The sequence below is a fragment of the Homo sapiens genome, chromosome 11, assembly GCF_000001405.40.
Source record: "Homo sapiens chromosome 11, GRCh38.p14 Primary Assembly".
Taxonomy (NCBI): Eukaryota; Metazoa; Chordata; class Mammalia; order Primates; family Hominidae; genus Homo; species Homo sapiens.
The window spans coordinates 29,701,649-29,726,947 of record NC_000011.10 but is presented as its reverse complement, the minus strand read 5'-3'; the positions used below and the strand labels follow the sequence as shown (position 1 = coordinate 29,726,947).

Sequence of the window (25,299 nt, the reverse complement as noted above, 5' to 3'; positions counted from 1 at the left end):
CCCGGGTTCACGCCATTCTCCTGCCTCAGCCTCCCGAGTAGCTGGGACTACAGGCGCCCGCCACCGCGCCCGGCTAATTTTTTGTATTTTTAGTAGAGACGGGGTTTCACCGTTTTAGCCGGGATGGTCTCGATCTCCTGACCTCATGATCCACCCGCCTCGGCCTCCCAAAGTGCTGGGATTACAGGCGTGAGCCACCGCGCCCGGCCTAAAAAAGAGTATTTTCTAATAGTAGGCATATTTTGTTTTAGTTTGTTTGTCCCACTATAGCAGAATACCTTAAACTGGGTAATTTATAAAAACAATAATTTATGTTTTATTTTCTTGAAGGAAAATTTGTAGTTTAATTTTTTTTATGTAGAGAAAACTCAACAGCATACATTTAACCCACTTTAGTGGCAAGTTCTTTAGTCTTTGCCTTTTTGAGCTTGAGAATGTGAGCCACAGATCTGGGAACCCAGGACATTGCTTCCCCAGTGACGGTGGATCTCATTGTATCTGTCATTGCAATTTGTCCTGATAGCTTCCACCAGCTTAGGCAAAGCTCCTTTGCCTTCCGAGTTAACCTATGTGAAGGCGACAGTGGTTCAGGTCTTCCTGTGGACTAGATGTCCCAGTCTTGCCTTCCCCTTGATAATGCAGTAAGGGACCCCCATTTTACAATGTAGGACAGGCAGGAAGACAACCAGCTCAACGGGATCCACGTCATGTGCAATCACCACCAGCTGAGCTTTCTTGTTCTCCACCAAGTTGGTGACAGTCTTAACTCCTGCTTGAAGGACAGGTGGTCTCTTATTGGGGATGTCCCCTTTGCTGGCAGCTTTCTTCTCAGCCCTGGGCCAATAGCCTCTGCTTATTCTTTTGCTTTGTCTCTGGTCTGTACTTGTGGGCCAGCTTAAGCAGCTGAGTAGCTGTTTGCTGGTCCAGGGCCTGGATAAACTGGTTAATCACAGGAGGCATATTCAGTCACTTATCGAGGATGGCTGTCTGCTGCTGCAACCTGATATAGCGGGGCCATTTCACAAAGCAGGTGAGGTCTCTTTTGGGCTGGATGTCTGTCCAATGCCAACATTCTTAGGCCTTTTCTCAAACAAGAGATTCACCACTTTCTTGGCCTCCTGCTTCTTCACAGCAGCAGGGACCAGAGCCACCTTCTTCCCCTTGGTCTTCTTTCCTTTCAGCATCTTAGGCAGTGGGAGGAAACAGCAAGAACAAGAATTTATATTCTCACAATTCTGAAGGCTAGGAAGTCCAAAATCAAGGCACCAGCATGTGGTCTAGTAGGCACCTTTCCGCTGCATCCTCATGTGGCAGGAAGTAGATGTTCATGTGAGCACAGGTTTGCAGAATGCTGCCCAAAGCCTCTTTCAAAGGACATTAATCCCATTAACAAAAAGCATCCCTCATGGCCTAGTCATCTCTTAAAGGCCCACCTCTTAATATTATCACATTGGCAGCACTTGAATTTTAGAGGGGATTAGGTTTCAACATGAATTTTGGAGGGAACAAAACATTTAAACCATAGCAGAAAGTGTGTCAAAAATGGCAAATTATGTAGAATAAATTTAGTGAACTTTAAATGTCAGTACTTCTGATTTGGGTTTAATATCCATTTAGACTGACAATTAGCACTGGGGTTTTAATGCAGACCTCTAACTTTCATTTTTGAAATGATATTTTTTTTCTAAATGTTGGCTTTGTTTTCAGAACAACTTTTCAGTTTAGGTCTTTACTACATGGCTTTACATTTTTTTTTCTTATCCCCCACCTGCCAAATATGGCAATTTTCTTTGGGCTTGAATGTGTCTAATATAGATTTTGTATTTCCTAAAATACTTAGTGGACTACTTGGCACATAGTAGATATTCAATGATATGGTTTGACTTTGTGTCCCCACTCAAGTGTCATCTTGAATTGTAATCCCCATGTGTTGAGGGAGGGACCTGGTGGGAGTTGATTGGATCACGGTGGCGGTTTCCCCTGTGCTGTTCTCATGATAGTGAGGGAGTTCTCATGAAAGCTAATGGTTTTATAAGGGGATCGATCTCTCTCTCTCTCCATCTCTCTCTCTCTCTCTCTCTCTCTGTCTCTCTCCATCTCTCTCTCTCTCTCCGTCTCTCTCTGTCTCTCTTTCTTTCTCTGTCTCTCTCTCTCTCTCTCCATCTCTCTCTCCCTCCACCTCTATCTCTCCCTCTCTCTCTTGCTCTCTCTCTCTCCCTCTCTCTCTCTCTCCCTCTCTCTCTATCCCTCTCTCTCCCTCTCCCTCTCCGTCTCTCTCCCTCTCCCTCTCTCTCCCTCTCCCTCTCCCTCTCTCTCTCTCTCACGCGCTCTCTCTCTTGCTCTCTTGCTCTCTCTCTCGTTGTCTCTCCCTCTCTCTCCCCCCCCGTCTCTCCCTCTCTCCCCTTCCTGCTGCCTTGCGAAGGAGGTATTTGCTTCCCCTTCACCTTCTGCCATGACTGTAAGTTTCCTGAGGCCTCCCCAATCATGTGGAACTGTGAGTCAGTTAAACCTCTGTGTTTATAAATTACCCAGTCTCAGGTATTATCATTATAGCAATGTGAGAACAGACCAATACACTCAGTAAACACGCACACACACCAACATATAAATATATATATTTGCCATTATTATCTGTCTTTTAGTATGTACCTACTATTCATTGTCATAAAACTTTACACTGATTTTCTTATTTAATTTTCTGAGAAACACTGACAAGTTAGTATTCACATTTTAAAAAAGAGAAAACAACTGAGATTTAGAGAGATTAAACCATAAGGCCATATTCCAAGACTATCTAGTTCGTGAGTGGAGAACAATTTAATTCTGTTTCTATGGTCATCATCTGTAACAATGGTATTACAGAAGAGTGAAATCAGCAAGATGGTCAGAGAGGAAGTCTCAGGCTCTACTCTCTGCCCAACTAAAAATGCAGCTAGCAACTATCTACAAACCAAAACATATTTTTGAAAATCCAAATACTTGTAACTAAGTCTGACACACTAACGTGGTCTACAGGCTGACTGAGAACGGCATTAGAAGGATAAGAACTGCCTCACTTCAACCCCTCTTCTCCCAAGTCAGCACAATGCCAGATGGGTACAATTTCTGCTGGCCATGGTTTTTACAGGGGGCAAAAAAGAACTGGAGTCAGTCATCCAGCTTCCTTAGCATTCTGAAGCACTTCCTGGAAGCCCGCTTTTGTCTCACCTCATGAGGGAACACTGGGAATAACATCTGAAGTCAAATAAAAACAGAGAAATAAGATAGAGATTACATTGACCAGTGTGTGATCTTGTTGGTACCTTTGTGTTCCTGCCAGCTATGGCACCCAGTCATAGATACCAGCCAACTTCATACCCCACCTGCAAAGCTGATTTGGTTGTTTTCAGAACCACAGTAGGAAGTTCAACCTGGCTTGAGTTATAGATGGCTAGTCTCTATACCAAGCTCCAGATTCCACCCCAACAACCTCACCCAAGCAGGGAAACGCCTTCCTCTCTCTCCATTTAGTAGAAGCAGAGAGGCTAGACCTGCTTGACCTGGAAGTCCAAAGAATGACTCAGCTCAGCCAAAAAGCCTGACAAGTGACCTCATCCAGGCAGGGATATCCCTGCCTCTTCCTATTTTGGAGAAGCATAGGGGCCAGACATGCTTGAACCAAGAGATCAAACAGTGGCTGAACTCAGCCAAAAGCCCACCCCATGGTTCCACCCAAAGAAGGAGGCAACTCTCAATTGTGCATTTCTAAGGAGCATAGTCTCTGGGCCCTGCCTGTCCCAAGCAGCAACTCTGTCTAACCTCAGAGCTGAGCCTGCAGCCCTGTCCAACTGCAGATCTAAAATGTCTCAGTCAGGGAATGTATCCTCTGATAGGTGTGACTAGAGAGCCTCACAGTAATCATCCAGTTGCTCTGTGTAATAGCAGAGCCCAGCCAGAAGCTCCACATGACATAAGAGCAAAGGCAGCAAACCAACCCAAATAAAGAACCCATAACAGGCCTTCCAGAATCACAGAGTAAACTGAGTAGTGAAGGTGCATCCCTGCCAAAGAACCCTTGTAAAAACAAGAAGAGGTGGTTGTCTCTTTATATGTGCACACAACAATGCAAAGACACAAGATTTTCCAAAAATCTGGGAATAATTACATCTTTTATAGAAATTAATAAATCTCCAATAATGGATGCTAAAAAATGGATATCTATGAAATGACAAAAAATTATAATAATCTTAAATAAGTTCAGTGAACTTGAAAAGTATACAGCTAGAAAATTAAATAAAATTTGGAAAATAACATGGAAAGTGAGAACTTTGACAAATAAATAGAAACAATAGTAAAAAATAGAAATCCTGGAAATTACAGACACAATAACTGAACTGAAAAAAAAAATCAATAGAAGGCTTCATCAGAAAACTCAATCAAGCAGAAGAAAGTCTGAGCTTGAAGGCAGGACATTTGAAATTAATCAGGCAGAGAAGCAAAAAATCGAAAGAATAAAAAATAAGAAAGTCTACAGGAGCTATGGGAAACCATCAAAAGTGAAACCTTTGTATAATAGGAGGCTTAGAAGGGGATGAAAGAGAAAACAAATCCAGAAAGCATATTTAAAGAAATAATGTCTAAAAATTTTCATAATCTGAGGATAGATTCCAGTGTTCATGTACAGCAAACACAGAGGTTTCAGTCAAAATCAACCGAAAGAAGAGTTCACTAAGACACAATCAAAATATCAAAACTCAAAAAAACTTTGGGGGCAGCAAGAGATGAGAAACATATTACATGGAAAGGAATCAAAATAAGACTATCAACAGATTTCTCAGCAGAAACCCAGCAGACCAGGAAACAAGGGGAAGAGATATTAAAAATGCTAAAGGAAAAAAGAAAAAACTGATGAAACCACCAACCAAGAATGCTTTACTCAGAAAAACTTTAAGAAATGAAAGAAAAATAAAAACTTTTCAGACAAACAAAAGCTAAGGGAATTCATCACCATTAGGCCTCAAAGATTACTGAAAGTTTTGTAAGTTGAAACAAAAGGCTGCTAACTAAAAACATAAAACACAAAAAGTACAGAACCCAATAGTATACACAATACAGAGCTATATTTAGAATACTTTAGGACTGTAATGACAGTTGTGCAAAGAAATTTTATTCTAGTATGAGGGTTAAAAGACAAAACCTAGCTAAAATAAAATTTTAACAAGAACCTATCTAAAATAAATTTTCAAGGGATAAACATTTGAAAATAATATAAATTCTTCCATATGCTGTGGCACGTGTCTGTAGTCCAAGTTACTTGGGAGGCTGAGGTGGGATGATCACATGAGCCCAGGAGTACTGGGCTGTAGTGCAGTATGCCGATTGGGTGTCCCTGCTAAATTCAGCATCAACATGGTGACCCACCATAGTGGGGACTACCAGGTTGCCTAAAGAGGGGTGTACCAGCCTGGGCCAGAATTGGAGCAGGTCAAAACTCCTGTGCTGAAAATAACATAAATTCTCACATCAAAATGTAAAATATTGGAAGAGGGAGTGAAAGTATAAAGTTGCATGCAAAGTTAATTTATTATCAACTTGAAATAGACTGTTATAGCTATAAGATGTTATGTGTAAATGTAATGGTAACAATGAAGAAAAAAATCTGTAGAAGAATTACAAAACAAAAGTATAGAGAATTCAAAGCATACCACTACAGAAAACTATGAAACTACAAAGACAGCAAGAAACACACAAACAAAAACGTCACAAATCATTTAATAAAATGACAGTAGTGAGACCTTAGCTATCAATAATTATCTTAAATGTAAATGAATTGCATTCCCTAATAAAAATACATAGACTAAATGAATATAAAAAAAGACCCAACTATATGCTGCCTGCAAAAGATTCATCTCAGTTTTAAGTATACACACAGACTGAAAATTCAGGGATGAAGAAAAGGTATTCTACACAAATAGAAACCAAAAGAGAACTGGGGTAGCTATACTTATATAAAATAAACTTTAAGTCAAAAACTATAAAAAGAGACAAAGAAAGACATTATATAATGATAAAGAAGTCAGTTCATCAAGAAAACATAAAAGTTTTAAATATATATGCACCTAACATTGGAGCAACCAAATATAAAAAGGAAATATTAAAGGATCTGATGGGTATTGCAGATTCCAATATGACAATTGTAGGGAACTTCAATACCCTACATTGAAAAATGGACAGGTCATCTAAACAAAATTAACAAGATAATATTAAACTTGAACAACACTTTTAGACCAAATAGCCTTAATAGACATGTACAAACCATTCTCTCCAACATGTGCAACAGAAGGCACATCCTTCTCAAGAACACATGGGACATTCTCCAGCATAGATCATATGTTAGTCCACAAAACAAGTATTAGCAAATTTAAGAAGATTGTAATTATAACAAGTATCTTTTCAAACCATAATGGTACAACTAGAAATCAATAAAATGAGATATTTTAAACAATTGCTTCTGAACAACCAATGGATCAACAAAGAAATAAAATGCAAATTAAAAAATATCTTGAGGCTGGGTGTGGTGGCTCACACCAGTAATCCCAGCACTTTGGGAAGCTAAAGCAGGTGGATCGCTTGAGGCCAGGAGTTCAAGACCAACTTGAGCAACATAGTGAGACCTTGTCTCTACAAAATAAAAAGAATATAAAAACAGCTGAGCATGATTGTGCATTACATGACTGTAGTCCCAACTACTTGGTAGGCTGAATCAGGAGGATCAGTTGACCCCAGGAGTTCCAGGCCACAGTGAACTATGATAATGCCACTGCACTCCAGCCTGGGCAACAGAGTGAGACCCTGTCTCTAAAGAGACAATCTTGAGACAAATGAAAACAGAAACACAATATGCCAAAACTTACGGGATACAGCAAAGGTACTTCTAAGAAGAAAGTTTATAGCAATAAATGGTTACATCAAAAAATAACAAAGATTTAAAATAAATTACAATGTCATTCCTGAAAAGCTAGAAAAAACCCAAACTAAACCCAGTTAGCAGAAGAAAAAAGATCCGAGAAGAAATAAATAAAATAGACTAGAAAATCAATACAAAACATCAACAAAACTAAGAGTTTTTTTTTTGAAATTATAAATACAATCAACAAATCTTAAGCTAGACTAAAAGAAAAAGAAGATTCAAATACATAAAATCAGAAATGAAAGTAGTGACATTACAACTGATACTACAGAAATACAAAGGATCATAAGAAACTATTAGGAACAACTATATGCCATCTTTCTAGTATAATATGTAAAAAATTGATAAATTCCTAGACATATACAACCTATGAAGACTGAATCATAAATAGAAAACTTGAACAGACCAGTAACAATTTAGGAGACCGAGTCAGTGATGAAAAGTTTCCCATCAAAGAGAAGCCCAAGACCAAGACCTGATGGCTTCATTGCTGAGTTCTACCAAACATTTGAAGGTTCTAATACCAAAGGTAAACAAGAATACCATAACAAGTTAAAATAAAATTCCAGGCCAGTGTCTTTAATGAACATAGATGCAAAGATCTTTGACAAAATACTGGCAAACTGAATTCAATAATACATTAAAAGAATTACTCAACATGAACTAGTAGAATTTATCCCTACAATGCAAGGATGACTTAAAATACATGAATCAATAAATACGATACATTAACAGAATAAAACACAAAAACTATATGAGTATCTCATTAGATGCAGAAAAAAATACTTTGCAAATTTTAACATCCTTTCACGATAAACATTTCTTACCAAATTAGCTATAATAAGAATGTGCCTCAACACAATACAAGGCATATACAAGCCCAAAGCTCACATTATACTCAAAAGTGAAAAACTGAAATCCTTTCCTCTAAGAAATGGAACAAGACAAGGCCCATTCTTGTTGCTTCTATTCAACTTAGTACTGGAATTCTTTGCTAGAGTAATTAGGTAATAGGAAGCAATAAAATCTTCCAAATAGGAAAGGAAGAAGATAAATTGTCACTGTTTGCTGACACATGATCTTATGTATAGAAAAGTCTAAAGATTCCATAAAAAACAGTTAGAACTAATAAATATGTTAAAGTTTCAGAATGCAAAATAAACACACAAAAATCAGTAGCATTTTTGTATAACAACAATGAAGTATCCAAAAAGAAATGAACAATCCCATTGACAATTTCTATGGAAAACAATTAAGAATAAATTTAACCAAGGAGGTGAAAGACCTATACACTAAAACACTATAAAATGTTGATGAAATAAATTGAAGACATAAATGAACGAAAAGATATCCTGTATTGTGTGTATTGGACAAATTATTGCTAAAATGTCCATACTACGTAAAGCAAGATACAGTTTCAATGCAATCCCTATCAAAATTCCAATGTGATTTTCATAAAAAGAGAAACAATCCTAAAATTAACATGGAACCAAAAAAATTATAAACATGCAACGCAATCACAAGCAAGAAAATACACCTGGAGGTATTACACTACCAGATTTCAAACTATACTACAACACTATTGAAATGGTTTGGCTGTATGGTTTGGCTGTGTCCCCACCCAATCTCATTTTGAATTCCCAGGTAGGAGGTAATTGAATCATGGGGGCAGGTCTTTCCCATTCTGTTCTTGTGATGGTGAATAAGTCTCATGAGATATGATGGCTTTTAAAAAGGGGAGTTTCTCTGTGCAAGCCCTCTTCTCTTGTCTGCCACCACGTGACATGTGCCCTTCACCTTCCGCCATGATTGTGAGGCCTCCCCTGTCATGTGGAACTATAAGTCAGTTAAACCTGTTTCTTTTGTAAATTGCCCAGTCTCAGGTATGTCTTTATCAGCAGCATGAAAATGGACTAATATAGTAAATTGGTACTAGTAGAGTGGGGCGCTGCTGAAAACATACCCAAAAATGTGGAAGTGACTTTACCTGAGTAACAGGCAGAGGTTGGAACAGGTTGGAGGGCTGAGAAGAAGATAGGAAAATGTGAGAAAGTTTGGAACTCCCTAGAAACTTGTTAAATGGCTTTGACCAAAATGCTGATAATAATATGGGCAATGAAATCCAGGCTGAGGTGGTCTCAGATGTGGATGAGGAACTTGTTGGGAACTGGAGCAAAGGTGACTCTTGTTATGTTTTAGCAAAGAGACTGGTGGCATTTTGCCCCTGCCCTAGAGATCTGTGGAACTTTGAACTTGAGAGAGATGATTTAGGGTATCTAATGGAAGAAATTTTTAATCAGCAAAACATTCAAGAGACGATTTCGGTGCTGTTAAAGGCATTCAGTTTTATAAGTGAAGCAGAGCATAAAAGTTCAGAAAATTTGCAGCCTGACAATGTGATAGAAAAGGAAATCCCATTTTCTGAGGTGAAATTCAAGCCAGCTGCAGAAATTTGCATAAGTAACCAGGAGCTGAATGGTAATCCCCAAGACAATGGGGAAAATGTCTCCAGGGTTTGTCAGAGGTCTTCACAGCAGCCCCTCCTATCACAGGCCCAAAGGCCTGGGATGAAAAAGTTTCGTGAACTGGACCCACAGTCCCCGTGCTGTGTGCAACCTAAGGACTTGGTGCCCTGCATCCAAGCTGCTCCAGCCATGGCTGAAAGGGGCCAACATAGAGCTCAGGTCATGGCTTCAGAGGGTGCAAACCTCAAGCCTTGGCAGCTTCCACATGGTGTTGATCTTGCAGTTGCACAGAAGTCAAGAATTGGGGATTGGGAACCTCTGCCTAGATTTTAAAGGATGTATGGAAATGCCTGGGTGTCCAGGCAGAAGTTTGCTGCAGGGTCAGGACTCCTGTGGAGAACCTCTGCTAGGGCAGTGCAGAAGGGAAATGTGGGGTTGGAGCCCCAACATGAAGTTCCTACTGAGGCACTGCCTAGTGGAGCTGTGAGAAGAGGGCCACTGTTTGAGAAACCCAGAATAGTAGATCCACTGACAGCTTGCACTGTGTGCCTGGAAAAGCCACAGATACTCAACATTAGCCCGTAAAAGCAGCTTGGAGGGAGGCTATACCCTGCAGAGCCACAGGAGCAGAGCTGCCCAAGACCATGGGAACCCACCTTTTGCAACAGCATGACCTGGATGTGAGATGTGGAGTCAAAGGAGATCATTTTGGAGCTTTAAGATTTGACTTCCCTGCTGGATTTCAGACTTTCATGGGGCCTGTAGCCCCTTTGTTTTGTCCAATTACTCCCATTTGGGATGGCTGTATTTACCCAATGCCTGTAATATCTAGGAAGTAACTAAATTGCTTTTGATTTTACAGGCTCACAGGAGGAAGGGACTTGCTTTTTCCCAGATAAGACTTTAGCCTGTGGACTTCTGAATTAATGCTGAAATGAGTTAGACTTTGGGGGGCTGTTGTGAAGGCATGATTGGTTTTGAAATGTGAAGACATAAGATTTGGGAGGGGCCAGGGGCAGAGTGATAGCATTTGGCTGCATTCCCACTCAAATCTCATCTTGAATTCCCACATGTTGTGGGAGGGACCCAGTGGGAGGTAATGGAATCAGGGGCAGGTCTTTCCCATGCTGTTCTCATGATAGTGAATAAGTGTCAAGAGATCTAATGATTTTCAAAAAGGGGAGTTTCTCTGCACAAGCCCTCTTCTCTTGTCTGTTGTCAATGTGAGAGGTGCCTTTCACCTTCCACCATGATTGTTAGGCCTGGAACTGGAAGTCAATTAAACCTCTTTCTTTTGCAAATTGCCCAGTCTTGGGTATGTCTTTATCAGCAGCATGAAAATGGACCAATACAACTGTAGTAAGTAAAATAGCATGGTATTAGCATAAAATAGACACATCAACCAATGCAACAGAATAAAGAGGCCGGAAATGAGCCTACACATATATGGTCAATTGATTTTTCAAAGACATTATCCTTTTCAGAGACATTATTCATGGCACTGATGTGCCATGAATACAAAATGAGAAAAAGACATTGCATTCAATAAATGGTATTGGGAAAACTGGATATCCACGAGAGAAAAAATGAAATTATGCCCTTATCTCACACTGTATAAAAATTAACTCAAAATAGATTAAAGACTTAAATGTAAAACCCAAAACTGTAAAACTTTGAAGAAAACATATCATGTCACATCCTTGATATTGGCCTGGGTGTTTTTTTTAATTTAACCTCAAAAGTGCAGAAAATAAAAGCAAAAATACACAAACAGGATCAAATCAAACTAAAAAGCTTCTGTACAATAAAGGAAGCAGTTAACAATATGACAAGACAACCTACAGATTGGGAGAAAATATTTGCAAACCATATGTCCAATAAAGGGCTAATATCTAAAATACATAAATATGTAATTCAAACAACTGAATAACAAGAAAACAAACTGATTAATAAATGAGCAAGAGACCTTAATAGACCTTTTTCAAAAAAATATAAATGGCCAGCAGAAATATTAAAAAATGTTCAACATCTTTAATCATTAGGAAAATGCAAATTAAAACTACAATGAGATATCACCTCACACCTATCATAATGACCATTATCAAAAAGATAAATTTTGGTGAGGATGTGGAGTAACGTGAACTCTTATATACTGTTGGTGGAAATATAATTAGTATAGCTGTCATGAAAAACTGTATGGAGGTTTCTTAACTAAAAATAAAATTACCATATCATCTAGCAACCCCACTTCAGTATTTACCTGAAAGGTTTGAAATCAGTTTGTCAAAAAAAAAAAGTCTGCATTCCTGTGTTCAGTGTGGCTCTATTTACAATTGCTAAGATATAGAATCAACCTTGTGTCCATCAACAGATGAATGAATAAAGAAAATGTGATATATATACACACAAAGGAATACTATTAAGTCTTTAAAAAGGAGAAAATTCTGCCGTTTGTAACAACACGGATGGAATTGAAAAAATATTATGCTAAGTCAAAAAAACCAGGCATGGAAAGATACATGCTGTGTTCTCACTTGTATATAGGATCTAAAACAATTGAACTCATAAATGCAGAGAGTACAGTGGTGGTTACAGAGGCTGGGACATGGGGAAAATGGGGAGATGATGGTCAAAGGATACATAGTCTCAGACAGGAGAAATAAGTGAGTTTTTGAAATCTATTGCACAGTATGGTGGACATAGCAATTTCAAATTGCTAATAGAGTAAATTTCAAATGTTCTTACCACAAAAAATAAACATTTGAGGTTATGAATCTGTTAATTGGCTCTATTTCATATAGTATTTGTAAATCACAATATCACTTTGTATCCTATAAATATATTCAGTTGGAAAAAGTCAATTTATATATTATAAAATTAATAATGATATTACATTGATTAAGTGAGGTGTGATATATCTGGAGCTTTCAAGTGCTCATATTTTAGGATGTGATTAAAAAAACCTCATATCTTAGAATTAATGGTTGTTTGATTAGTGATCAATTCTGTTAATTCCAAAGGCATTCAGCCCCACCACGTATAGTTCTCATACCCATTTTATAAGAAAGGTGCTAACTACATGTTTTTAAAAAGATAAGCATTGTCCAGAGAAAAATCCTTACCAAGGCTCTTGTGGTTCAAAAAGTAATTGTACATAAATTTATTTGTGTATTTGTTTACTATTTTTTCACAATAAAATAAGCACATTTATTGGAAACCACTTTGTTACAGAGTAGGGCTTCTTTAGAAGCAGGAGGAGGAAATGCCCATACCTAAATTTAATAGTAAAAATAATGAGCCCGACCTTTATGGTTAATTTCAATAACACTGTCAGAAAAGAAGAGAAGAAAACCAGTAGGCAAAATGGTTTCTCACATATACTGCAGACTTCACCTGTAATGAAGAAGCTGGTTTCTTTGGTAATTCTGCTTCAGTGAAGTTCTCACATTGTGTCCGGAATCGGTGGTTTCTTGGTTTCACTGACTTCAAGAATAAAGCCGCGGACCCCTGCCGTGAGTGTTACAGTTCTTAAAAGCAGCGTGTCCGGAGTTTGTTCCTTCTGATGTTCGCATGTGTTCAGAGTTTCTTCCTTCTGGTGGGTTCGTGGTCTCGCTGGCTCAGGAGTGAACCTGCAGACCTTCGTGGTGAGTGTTACAGCTCTTAAGGTGGGGCGCGTGGAGTTGTTCATTCCTCCAGGTGGGTTCCTGGTCTCGGTGGCTTCAGGAGTGAAGCTGCAAACCTTCGCAGCGAGTGTTACAGCTCATAAAGGCAGTGTGGACCCAAAGAGTGAGCAGTAGCAAGATTTATTGCAAAAAGTGAAAGAACAAAGCTTCCACAATGTGGAAGGGGACCCGAGTGGTTGCCACTGCTGGTTCCGGCAGGCTGCTTTTATTCTCTTATCTGGCCCACCCACATCCTGCTGATTGGTCCATTTTACAGAGAGCCAATTGGTCTGTTTTACAGAGAGCTGATTGGTCCATTTTGACAGGGTGCTGATTGGTGCATTTACAATCCCTGAGCTAGACACAAAAGTTCTCCAGGTCCCCACTAGATTAGCTACATACAGAGTGCTGATTGGTGTATTTACAAACCCTGAGCTAGACACAGAGTGCTGATTGGTGCATTTACAAACCTTGGGCTAGACACAGAGAGCTCATTGGTGCATTTACAAACCTTGAGCTAGATACAGAGTACTGATTGGTGTATTCACAATCCCTTAGCTAGACATAGAGATTCTCCAAGTCCCCACCAGATTAGCTAGATACAGAGTGCCGATTGGTGCATCCACAAACCCTGAGCTTGACACAGGGTGCTGATTGGTGTGTTTACAAACCTTGAGCTAGATACAGAGTGCTGATTGGTGTATTTACAATCCCTTAGCTAGACATAAAGGTTCTCCAAGTCCCCACTAGACTCAGGAGCCCAGCTGGCTTCACCCAGTGGATCCTGCACTGGGGCCACAGATGGAGCTGCCTGCCAGTCCTGCGCTGTGCACTGGCACTCCTCAGCCTTTGGGCGGTAGATGGGACCGGGGCCATGGAGCAGGGAGCTGCGCTCCTTGGGGAGGCTCGGGCGGCTCAGGAGCCCACTGTGGGGGTTGGGGGGGGGCTCAGGCATGGTGGGCTGCAGGTCCCCAGCCCTGCCCTGCCCTGCAGGAGGCAGCTAAGGCCCAGCGAGAAATGCAGTGCAGCGCCAGTGGGCCAGCACTGCTGGGGAGCCTGGAGCACCCTCCACAGCTGCTGGCCCTGGGTGCTAAGCCCCTCACTGCCCGGGCTGGTGGGGCTGGCTGGTGGCTCCCAGCACTGGGCCCGCCAAGCCCACACCCACCCAGAACTCTAGCTGGCCTGCAAGAACACCACGCGCAGCCCCAGTTCCCGCCCATGCCTTTCCCTCCACACCTCCCGGCAGGCTGAGGGAGCTGGCTCCAGCCTTGGTCATTCCAGGAAGAGGCTCCTACAGTGCAGGGGCAGGCTGAAGGGCTCTTCAACTGTGGCCAGAGTGGGCACCGAGGCTGAGGAGGTGCCAAGAGCGAGCGAGGGCTGCAAGGGCTGCCAGCACGCTGTTACCTCTCAACATCAGTGATTTCCCAAAGGATTACATCAGGATATTCTACAGATTTGTATATTTTATTGTAAATTTAGTAATTTTTAAGACATTCACATTGCATAGTATATGCACAGACTGGCATAGGTTAAGATTGAGCACAAAGTAGGCATTCAACAAATTGCAAGTGAATTAAACCAACCTATATGTCACATATTGCATTTGGATGTCTATCTTTGCCTGGTGGTATCATCCTGTATCATTTTTATTTCCATAAAGTTAAAAATAGCATAGTAAACCATATACAAGTAAATGAGGGAATATGAGTGAGTAGTAGGAAAAAATAGGTGAATAGTTGAAAAACATAAGCAGACAATTTTAAGCCAACTGTGAGTCAATTCCTTACAAACTCTTGCATTCAAGTTTCAAACAATCAAGTGAAAGGCAGAAATATAATTAACTATATCAATTATAGAGAAACCACCAGTTCAGGAGGAGCACAGGTAGATCTGGTTCTATGGCTACAGGAATGAGTTCTCACTGAATAGAAACTACATTAGAGCAAACATTAGCTTTAGAGTAAATAAGACAATGCATTTCCAAAGGATGTTTTTTATAACATCCTTCACCATGGGCCAAAATCATTGTTATCCATACAAAACAGTAAAAGAACCACCATGGGAAGAGATTGAACGTGGAGGATGCAATGTCCATAAAATACATACATCATCACTAATAGTGTACATTTATTTCTCTAAGGTATTTGACTCAAAAATTTACTTGACATTGTGAACAATGGCATGCTTGTTTTTAATTGGCAGAAGACTCAGGGAATGTAATCATGCTAGACATTAAATGAACTGCAAAGAAAAGGATTAGAGGAAAGCATTTAAATAAATCCCTTTAAAGAGACTCTGTAGCATTTCTTCTTATATTGTTTATTTCCGACAACAAGCAGAACTTGGAGCCTTCAGGTAGTTTGCCTTATTTTTGGGTATTGTGATTGTAAAAAGGAGACAGTCTGTTCTGTGTACTTTAATGTTATTTCCACTATTTAAGAAATCCTGTTGAAAGAAAGCAACAGATGCATCACCAGCTATGAAAAGGATGCTCTCCGTTAAACTGCCCTCATCAAGAAGCATGCTGCATGTTATGGTGGAAAGAGCTTGACTTTTCGGATCAGATACGTTTATAGTAGCTATGTTGACTTGATTTGGACATGTTTTGTTGAAAGAAAAACTTCAGCCAAATTAAATTTAAAAGAGTTGAATTGAGCAATGGACAATTCACAAATCAAGCAGCCCCCAGAATCACAGCAGATTCAGAGAGACTTCAGTACAGCCACGTGGCAGAAGATTTATAGCCAAAAAAAAAAAAAAAAAGGGAAATGTACAGAAATCAGAAGTGAGGTACAGGAACAACTGGATTGGTTACAGCTTGGTATTTGCCTTTTTGAACACGGTTCAAACAGTTGGCTACATTTGGCCAAAACTCAGTGATTGGCACAGGTGTGAGCTACGGTTGCTTCACACCTACACTTGTTATAGTTTACAATGTACACAAAAACCTTTAGGCCAAACTTAAATATGTAAGGAGGCAGCTTTAGGCTAAGCTTGATTAACAGTTTCTAATCTCTTTGTCCTTTAGGTTCCTCATGGTACAACATTATGTTGATGATAAGTATTTTAATAATTAGGGTTCATTTGTTGCCAGTGATGGATACTTGTTGGCAAACTTAACAGAAAGGAAATTCGTTGGAAGAATATTGGGGAAATTCATGGAATACATGGGAAGGCAGTAAAACCTGGACTGCAAATAGGCAGGATTCATGGCTGTCATGGGGAATCAAGAGGCAGAAATACTTCATATCTCCTTTGACAACATTGCTGTAAAAAATGCTGCCCGCTGCTTTTCCCTCTACCCTTAAAATTCTCACATTAAGTTTTAAGGTTCTTGAAAAAAAATCCAGTTGCCCTAACATAACAGCTTGGCTACAAGAGCATAGAATACTTTTATTTACAGACATATAAAGATTACATATATGGATGAGAGGTAATTTCTCAAAAAGGATGTTTGCCACAAGAAGGAGAAATAAATGTCAACAGTCAAAAAACAAAAGCAAAAACCATCTGCACTATACCTACCATGATAGAGTTAATGAAGATTAAATGATATAACATTCATAAAACCCTTGGCACATAGTAGACACTACCCTGGGATAAAAGCTCTGCAAGGGCAAGAACTTGGCTCTATTCCATGCTGCATCTGAAGAGCTTAGAATAATAACTTGCAAAAGTAGATGCTCAGCTAATGCCTGTTGTGGACTCACAACATGTGTTCCTTTCCTTCTTTGTTTCTGTCATCCTGACTCCGTTTACTGGTAAAGTTTGATAGGAAATGACATTTTCTGGTAAAATGTGTTGCCAATAAATAGCATTTAAGAGCACGTGCTACTTGCACTACGTGCTTATCACATTGTCACAGGATCTTTGTAATTTCAGTTATTTATTGAAGCCAAAAGGAAACCATCATCAGGGCATTAGAGTGTGGTGACATTTCCCTTAGCACCTTCAGAAGTGAACTCATATCTATTTTTTAATCTGAATGTCTGGCTCTGTGAGTCAGAGCTCTTTTGTTCTGTCTTCTGTTTCTTGCACACCATTTTTACTGATTTTAAATCCCATTTTAATCTGGATACTTTACATGACTCTGTGATCATACCTTTTTTGTTTTCCTGAGCAAAGCTGCTGAGTGGAACTGTGTGTCACCCAAAGATCCAGAGCTTAAAGATCAGAGCTGCTAGTGAACCATTTGGAAGCTGTCCCTTAAAGAAGGCAGCACCATTTATGTTAGTGTCATTTTGTGCTGCTAAATGTTGTGATAAGTAGTCTCCCTTTTAATGACACTCGGCAAGCAAGGAGTTGGGTCTTTAAAAAGGATTAAAAATTACCTTGATATATTCAAATGAGTATTGGAAGAACTTGGAATTGTATTGTCCAAAGGGCACATGATAAATGACACTAACTTATGCACAGCCAAAAGAATAAAAACAATCTTAGGTTATTTTTTTGTGTATGAGGACAGTGGGAGGAAATGAAATGTACACCGGTTAGAAATGTAAGAAATCTGGAATCCTGTGTCTACCATTACAAGTTGTGTGACTTTGAGTAGATAACTCCTCTCTCTGAACTTTGGTTTCCTTTCCTGAGAAATGGGCATGTAGTTGCCACAGTGATTGTTACAGGAACCCATATATTAATAATTATAATTCACTTAGAAGAGTAATAAGTATAGAAGATATTCAGAAATATAGACCCTCAATGCTGGAGGATAAAAAGACTCATGTTACTCTGAGATATATTTTTCTACATGTAAAGAAATATCCAATTACATTCAAAATGCTTAAGATTGAACCCTGTCTCCATCAGGAAGTGGCTGTGTGAACCTGGATATATTGTGTGTGTGTATTTTGGTTTCCAATACCGCATATGTAAAACAGATGTAAGAATTTCCATTCTGTCTAATTTACGAGGTTGTTTACAGGTTGAGACCACCTGAAACATGTGAAGTTGCAAGGAGCGAGTTCTTAAAATTAATCTTAACAACATTGAGTTAAACAATTTCCACTTATGTATCTATTTTGTGCTAGACCCAATGTTAAACTCTTAATGTACATTAATTCAGTGATCTAATGAAGTTGGTAATAATATTCTCCTATTTTGTATTTGAGGAAACTGGAGCTTCAACAATTTAGGAATATTCCTAGTTTCCAAGGGCTGCTATAACAGAATACCACAAACTGAATGGCTTGAAATAACAGAAAATTATTCTTATAGTTCTTGAAGCTAGAAGTCTGAGGTCAAGGAGTTGGCAGTGCCATGCCCCCTCTGGAACTTGTAGGGGAGAATCCTTCCTTACATTTTCTAATAGCTTCTGGTGGTGGTAGTCAATCTTTGACATTCCTCCAATATATGCATACCTCCAATCTTTTTTTTTTTTTTTTTTTGGTTGTCACATGTCATTCTCCTCGTGTCTATATCTCTGTTGTCACTTCTAAGGACATCAGTGATCTTAGCTTATAGCCCACCCTAATGACCTAATATTAACTTGATTATGTCTGCAAAGACTATATTTCCATATAAAGTCACATTTATAAGTGCTAAGAATTAGGACTTGGACATATCTTTTTTGGGGGCATAATTCAATTCATAACATCACCCAATATAAACTACCTAAAAAGTGTTGTAGCTGAGATTTGGTCTCCAGTGTGTTATTTCTAGAACCTGAAGCAGGACTTACAGAAATTCATGTATTGAGATGTCGGCTGAGCCAGAACTAGTACCTGACATTCGTGATTTCCAGGTCATGGGCTTTCACACTGTGCTTGGCTGCCTCTCAGGAAAAAAAAAATTACAAACTAAAATTAGCAGCATTTTCTATTTTTGTAGATAATGGTTTTCTGTTGTGTTTAAGAGCCTGGATTTCCTGAAGGAGGTAGAGTGAAGAGTGGACTGTTTTAGTAAAAAGTGAGAAATACACCCATCCTTATCTCTCAGCTTATGTTTCTGGATGGAGCTGGGCTATCCTCAATCCTGTACTGAGAATGGTCATATTGTGTAGGCTTGGCAAATAAGAATATCTTATTACCCTGGCTTCAGTGATAGGTTTAGGGATAGGGATGCAAAACTAGCCAGTTCAATGGGATTCAAATATATACAGCTCAAATTGAAAACTTTTCAGAATAAAATATTAAAACATTTTTGCTTCCCATCCCAAATAAAGTTGCCATACATGGAGATAGTGGTGGCCAATGTCCTATTAAAGAGTGAGAGATCTGACTTTAGTGTGAGAAACCAACAGAAATGGAAATTGTTCTGCCTAAACCAGCATAAGCTTTTATTATTGGTAATCAAAATGTCTTTTTTTGTAATTTTTATTGATTAAATAATAGTTGTACATGTTCTTGGTATATGTGTGATATTGTGATATATGTATAGAATGTTTAATGATTAAATCAGAGTAATGGGGTATCTATCCACTCAAACATTTATCTTTTCTTTGTGTTGGGGACATTACAATTCTTCTATTTTGAAATATACATTAATTATTTTAACTACAATTTTCCTACTGTAGTATTGAATGCTAGAACTTATGCCTTTTCATCAGATCCCATTGCTCAGGACAATGCTTATGCTGATAAGATAGCTTAAAAAAAAAAAAAAGCTGCTAGCATTCCAACTTCTATCTCTCATGGCAGTTTTTCTCCTTCTCATTTGGCCATTCCCACCTACTCCCCCACTAAAACTTCCACCTATCAATCTCTTCCCACACAAGGCAAATGGTTCTTAGACCAAGGAAAATATCTCCTTCCAGCCTCACAGGCCCATTCTATTCTGTTGTCATTTCCTAACCTCTTCCATGTAGGTTACAAGCCGCTAGCCCGCCTCTTAGAACCTCTCATTTCCTTTCCATCGTGGAAGTCTATCCTTAAGGAAATCACTTCTCAGTGTTCCATCTGCTATTCTACTACTCCTCAGGGATTGTTCAGGCCCCCCCACCTTCCCTACACATACATCAAGCTTAGGGATTTGCCCCCTCCCAGGAATGGCAAATTGACTTTACCCACATGCCTCAAGTCAGGAAACTAAAATACCTCTTGGTCTGGGAAGACACTTTCACTGGATGGGTAGAGGCCTTTCCCACAGGGTCTGAGAAGGCCACCACAGTCATTTCTTCCCTTCTGTCAGACATAATTCCTCGGTTTGGCCTTCCCACCTCTATACAGTCCAATAACGGACCGGCCTTTACTAGTCAAATCACCCAAGCAGTTTCTCAGGCTCTTGGTATTCAGTGGAACCTTCATATCACTTACCGTCCTCAATCTTAATGAAAGTTAGAATGGACTAATGGTCTTTTAAAAACACACCACACCAAGCTCAGCCTCCAACTTAAAAAAGGGACTCTGTCAAGAATAGAGCCGAAAAACTCACCAACCAAGCAAGTAACTACACTGAATCCCCCTTGGACACTCTCTAATTGGATGTCCTGGGTCCTCCCAATTTTCAGTCCTTTAATACCTGTTTTTCTCCTTCTTATTCCATTTAGTTTTTCAATTCATACAAAACCGTATCCAGGACATAATCAATAATTCTACATGACAAATGTTTCTTCTAACAACCCCACGATATCACCCCTTACCACAAAATCTTCCTTCAGCTTAATCTCTCCCACTCTAGGTTCCCACGCCGCCCCTAATCCCACTCGAAGCAACCCTGAGAAACATCACCCATTATCTCTCCATACCACCTCCCAAAATTTTTGCCACCCCAACACTTTACCACTATTTCATTTTATTTGTCTTATTAATATAAGAAGACAGGAATGTCAGGCCTCTGAGCCCAAGCTAAGCCATCTTATCCCCTGTGACCTGCACGTATACATCCAGATGGCCTCTGAAGAATGACAAAAGAAGTAAAAATTGCCTGTTCCTGCCTTAACTGATGACATTACCTTGTGAAATTCCTTCTCCTGGCTCATCCTGGCTCAAAAGCTCCCCCGCTGAGCACCTTGTGACCCCCACCTCTGCCGGCCAGAGAGCAACCCTCCTTTGACTGTAATTTTCCTTTACCTACCCAAATCTTATAAAACGGCCCCACCCCTACCTCCCTTCACTGACTCTTTTTGGACTCAGCCCGCCTGCACCCACGTGAAATAAACAGCCTTGTTGCTCACAAAAAAAAAAAAAAAAAAAAAGAACTTAGGCCTTTTATCTAACTGTATGTTTAGACATGGTATATATTCTATTGGTTTTATGTATGTAATTAGTATATATTCTATTTACATGGTACATATTCTACTGGTTTTATGTATATAATTAGTTTTATATACTATTGGGTATAATTGGATATAAAATTTGTTATATATGCATATATGTGTATACAGTATATATATTAATATTACATACATATATATTTACAGAGCTATATTTTAAGAAATTGACCCACATGATTGTCAGAACTGGAAAGTTTAAAATACATAGGATAGGCCAGCAGGCCAGAAACTCAATATCAGGCAAAATTCACCCCCGATATTTCATGTAGGTTCTTTTCAATTTTCCCTAAGTGTCAGCCAGTCTGAGAAATAAAGGGACAGAGTAAAAAAGGGAGAAATTTTAAAGCTGGGTGTCTGGGGGAGACATCACATGTCGGCAAGTTCCGTGATGCCCCCTGAGCTGTAAAACCAGCAAGTTTTTCTTAATGATTTTCAAAAGGGGAGGGAGTGTACGAATAGAGTGTGGGTCACAGAGATCACATGCTTCACAAGGTAATAAGATATCACAAGGTAAATGGAGGCGGGGCGAGATCACAGGACCACAGGACCAGGGCGAAATTAAAATTGCTAATGAAGTTTCGGACATGCATTGTCATTAATAACATCTTATCAGGAGACAGGGTTTATGAGCAGACAACTGGTCTGACCAAAATTTGTTAGGCGGGAATTTCCTCTTCCTAATAAGCCTGGGAGCACTATGGGAGACCGGGGCTTATTTCATCCCACAGCTACAACTGTAAAAGACAGCCGCCCCCAAGGCAACCATTTTAGAGGCCTCCCCTCAGGGACGCATTCTCTTTCTCAGGGATGTTCCTTGCTGAGAAAAAGAACTTAGTGACAGAAGAGAAATATGGCTCTGTTCCACCTGGCTCACCGGCAGTCAGAGTTTAAGGTTATCTCCCTTGTTCCCTGAACATTGCTGTTATCCTGTTCTTTTTTCAAGGTGCCCAGTTTCATATTGTTCAAACACACATGCTCTACAAACAATTTATGCAGTTAACGCAATCATCACAGTGTCCTGAGGTGACATACATCCTCCTCAGCTTATGAAGATGATAGGATTAAGAGATTAAAGTAAATACAGGCATAGGAAATCACAAGGGTATTGATTGGGGAAGTGATAAGTGTCTATGAAATCTTCACAATTTATGTTAGAGATTGCAGTAAAGACAGGCATAAGAAATTATAAAAGTATTAATTTGGGGAACTAATAAATGTCTATGAAATATTCACAATTTATGTTCTTCTGCCATGGCTTCAGCTGGTCCCTCTGTTCAGGGTCCCTGACTTGCCGCAACACTCAAGCAGAGCTATGTTAGAGTTTTAAGGTAGAACTCCTTCTTCTCCAGAAAATGTCAGCTTCTGCTCTTAAGGCCTCGATTGGATGTGTTCCACTCATATTATCAAATGTAATCTCCTTTACTTAAAGTCAACTGATTACAAATGTCAATCACATCTACAAAATGCCTTCACAGCAACATCTAGACTAGTGTTTTACCACACTGCTGACCACCATAGCCCAGCCAATTTGACACATGTAATAATCATCACAGGTAGCAGATCTTATAAAGGAAGGCCTTATTAACATGGGTAAGACTTATTAAGAAGTTGACACTGAACTAAGATTTTAAAAATATGAAGAAGTCACTCATGTGAACATCTAGAGTAAGAACTTTCAGGCACAGGAAATATCTAGTGCAAAGTCCCTACTATTGGAGTATGCCTGGCATGTCTGAGGCACAGCACTAGAAGATAAGTGTGGTTAAAATAATAACTAAGGAGGTGATGGGTATTTATAGAAATATTTGAAGTCAAGACATTTCTGTAAATGTTCTTTGATACTGCAGCTTGAGGAAGGCCAATGAAAACACAAATGCTGCAATAGAAATAGAAAATAAACATGCTTCCCTAAGAGGTAAGATGACAAAGTCATCCCTCTCACTTTTAAAGTATAGGTGCCCTGAAAGCAGGCACTAAGATTATATACTGCTCACTGTTTTATCTCCAGCACCTAGCACAGTACATGACATATTGTAGGTGGTTGCTACATATTTGAAGAATGAAGGAACCTCATACTTACAGCCAGTTACTTATGGATTCCCCTCAATTTGGAAAAACGTTAATTCTAATCTACAGATACTGGAATGTTTTCTTGATCATTTCCCAGTACTCTCATTATTTTCCTTTTCCATTCCTACTGTGTTCTTGTTTATGATTGGACCTTGATCATTTTATTCATCTGCCATTTGCAATCTGTGGTGCAGTATTGAGAGTAAAACTTACCTCTTATTATTGATGCCTCTGAAATTGGCATAAGTTTCTCTTGGATTTATAGATTCCAGATCTTGAAAGTATCAGTGGATAATCTGGGAAAACACTTTACTTAAGCAGATGTGTTTCGTGGTCTTTGATTTATAAGGTATTTATAAATAACAGACAAAAGCAAAGAAAGTGATTTATTCAGTTGAGTGAAGAATCTTCATTTTGTAATAATGGAAGCAGAAAGGGGATGTGACTGAGTTGAATAGAGCCATGAGTGGACAAAAGGTGCGTAGGATGAAATAAATTCATCATATTTAAAAATACTATGCTAAAGTTTTTCAATCAATCCAAAGGAAGCAATAATCTGTATAATAATAGCAGATCTCACTAAGTGCAAGAGGAAATGTAGGCTAAAAATATAGACTTACAAATAAATTGGCTAAATTCTTGGAGTACCAAGCCATACTGAGTTATTGGGTTAGGATATTTTAAAAAAATGATCTATAACTTGGATATTGATAATGGTGTATTGGAGATGTCTAACAATAGTAAATGTGATAAAATAACATATATGTATACTCAAATCTATAATATACTTTAATGATATAAAGGCTGTATAGCATGAAATTTACAAATAATAAAATATACAATATTTCCTATTGTACATTACATATAATCAACTGTTTCTGAAATAATACTTTTGTTCGTTTTGTTAAACTCTTTTACCTGTAGCCAAACTATGGTTGCAATTAAACAATGAACTGACAAAATCAGACTACAAATAAACACTTGTTTACTATGAGATTTGACAAAAGGAATCAGACTACAAATAAACACTTGTTTACTATGAGATTTGACAAAAGGAATCACTCTTGACATTGATAAATGAGTGTAGCCTCAACATGAATGTTGATTGATATTTTCATTGACTTAGTCATGTAAAAGTGAAGGAAGGAGAACGTTTGTATGACTATTTGTTCTTCAAGCATACAAATGATTTCTCTGCTGAATTAAATAATCATTTTTGAAAACAGGAGTAATATTTTCTTATTTTTTGTGCAATTTATAATGTAACAGCTAGAGACATAACCCACTTTTATATTTAATCTTCATATTAACATTTTCTACCACATCGAATACAGACAACAACACAGTAAATCAAGCTTTGATTCATAGCATTTGCTGATTTTCATGATGTAAATACAGCATGGCCAGTTTCAAGCTATGAATTTACTATCACTGAACATGGAATTAGGAAAAATGCACAGAATTTACGATTATATAGTATTTATCATACAGATAATGCCAATGTAAATAACTTCAACAGCATAGTTGGTATTTGGTAGTAAAATACATTTAGGAAGTGATGAATTTTGAGTATTTATTACCTTTGGTTTTTAAAATTTTTAACTGTAATTTTATATGATTAAAAAAAGCAGCTGTGTTTAAAAATTAGTTGGACAAATTTCTAAAAATTTAACACTTAGCTAGTGGCAGCTCCAGTACACTGCTGGATCTGACCACAGGCAAGAGAATTCATCTTTCATACCTGCCATTTTTTGATAGATGTCGAAAACACAGAACCTATACTCAGTAGAAGGATGATTTGATCTTGTGATCCATTGCTTATATTCTTTCATAAAAAGTTAACTGACTTTTCTTATAGGTCCCATGATTTTAGATTATTTTCTTAAAATGGGAAAATAATAGGCAATTCTGTTTTGAAAAAAATCTTTTCAGCCAAAATAG

General features: G+C 38.7%; 2 pseudogenes; one reads left to right on the top strand and one right to left on the bottom strand.

Moving 5' to 3' along the window:
- On the bottom strand, nucleotides 326–1,210 carry RPL7AP58 (ribosomal protein L7a pseudogene 58; annotated as a pseudogene).
- On the top strand, nucleotides 5,264–5,549 carry RN7SL240P (RNA, 7SL, cytoplasmic 240, pseudogene; annotated as a pseudogene).